Genomic DNA, 445 nt, shown 5'->3' on the forward strand with positions numbered 1-445 from the left:
GGGCACCCGGGAAAAGCGCGCGCCCCGCGCCACCCTCGGCCCCGCCTCTGCGGCCGCTGCCCGTCGCACAACCACTCTCCAGCCTGGCAGGGCGGTCTCCGGCCTCGCACGCCGGACCCGCGGCGAGCAGAGCTGCCTCTTAAAGGAAACCGCACAGTGTCCCCACGGGTGCTAGCCACCTGTTTAGCAGCTTTAGTTAGGGACCCCAGCTTTTTCCCAGCGAGGGAAGCCACTGATGTTCAAACACCGAGGAAACGATGTCAAAGTTAGTTGGGATGATTTTTACGATCTACTAGAGAATCTTTTTTTTTTTCTTTTTCCTTCCTCCCTCTCTCTTCCTTCCATTCTTCCTTCCTTCTTGCAATCTTGGAGCTGAAAGGAGCCTTAGAACGAGCCTTTAATGGCCAGTGGCCGACGCGCTACTGAGCCCTCTCCCTTCTCCTTC

Source organism: Homo sapiens, chromosome 8, assembly GCF_000001405.40.
Source record: "Homo sapiens chromosome 8, GRCh38.p14 Primary Assembly".
Taxonomy (NCBI): domain Eukaryota; kingdom Metazoa; phylum Chordata; class Mammalia; order Primates; family Hominidae; genus Homo; species Homo sapiens.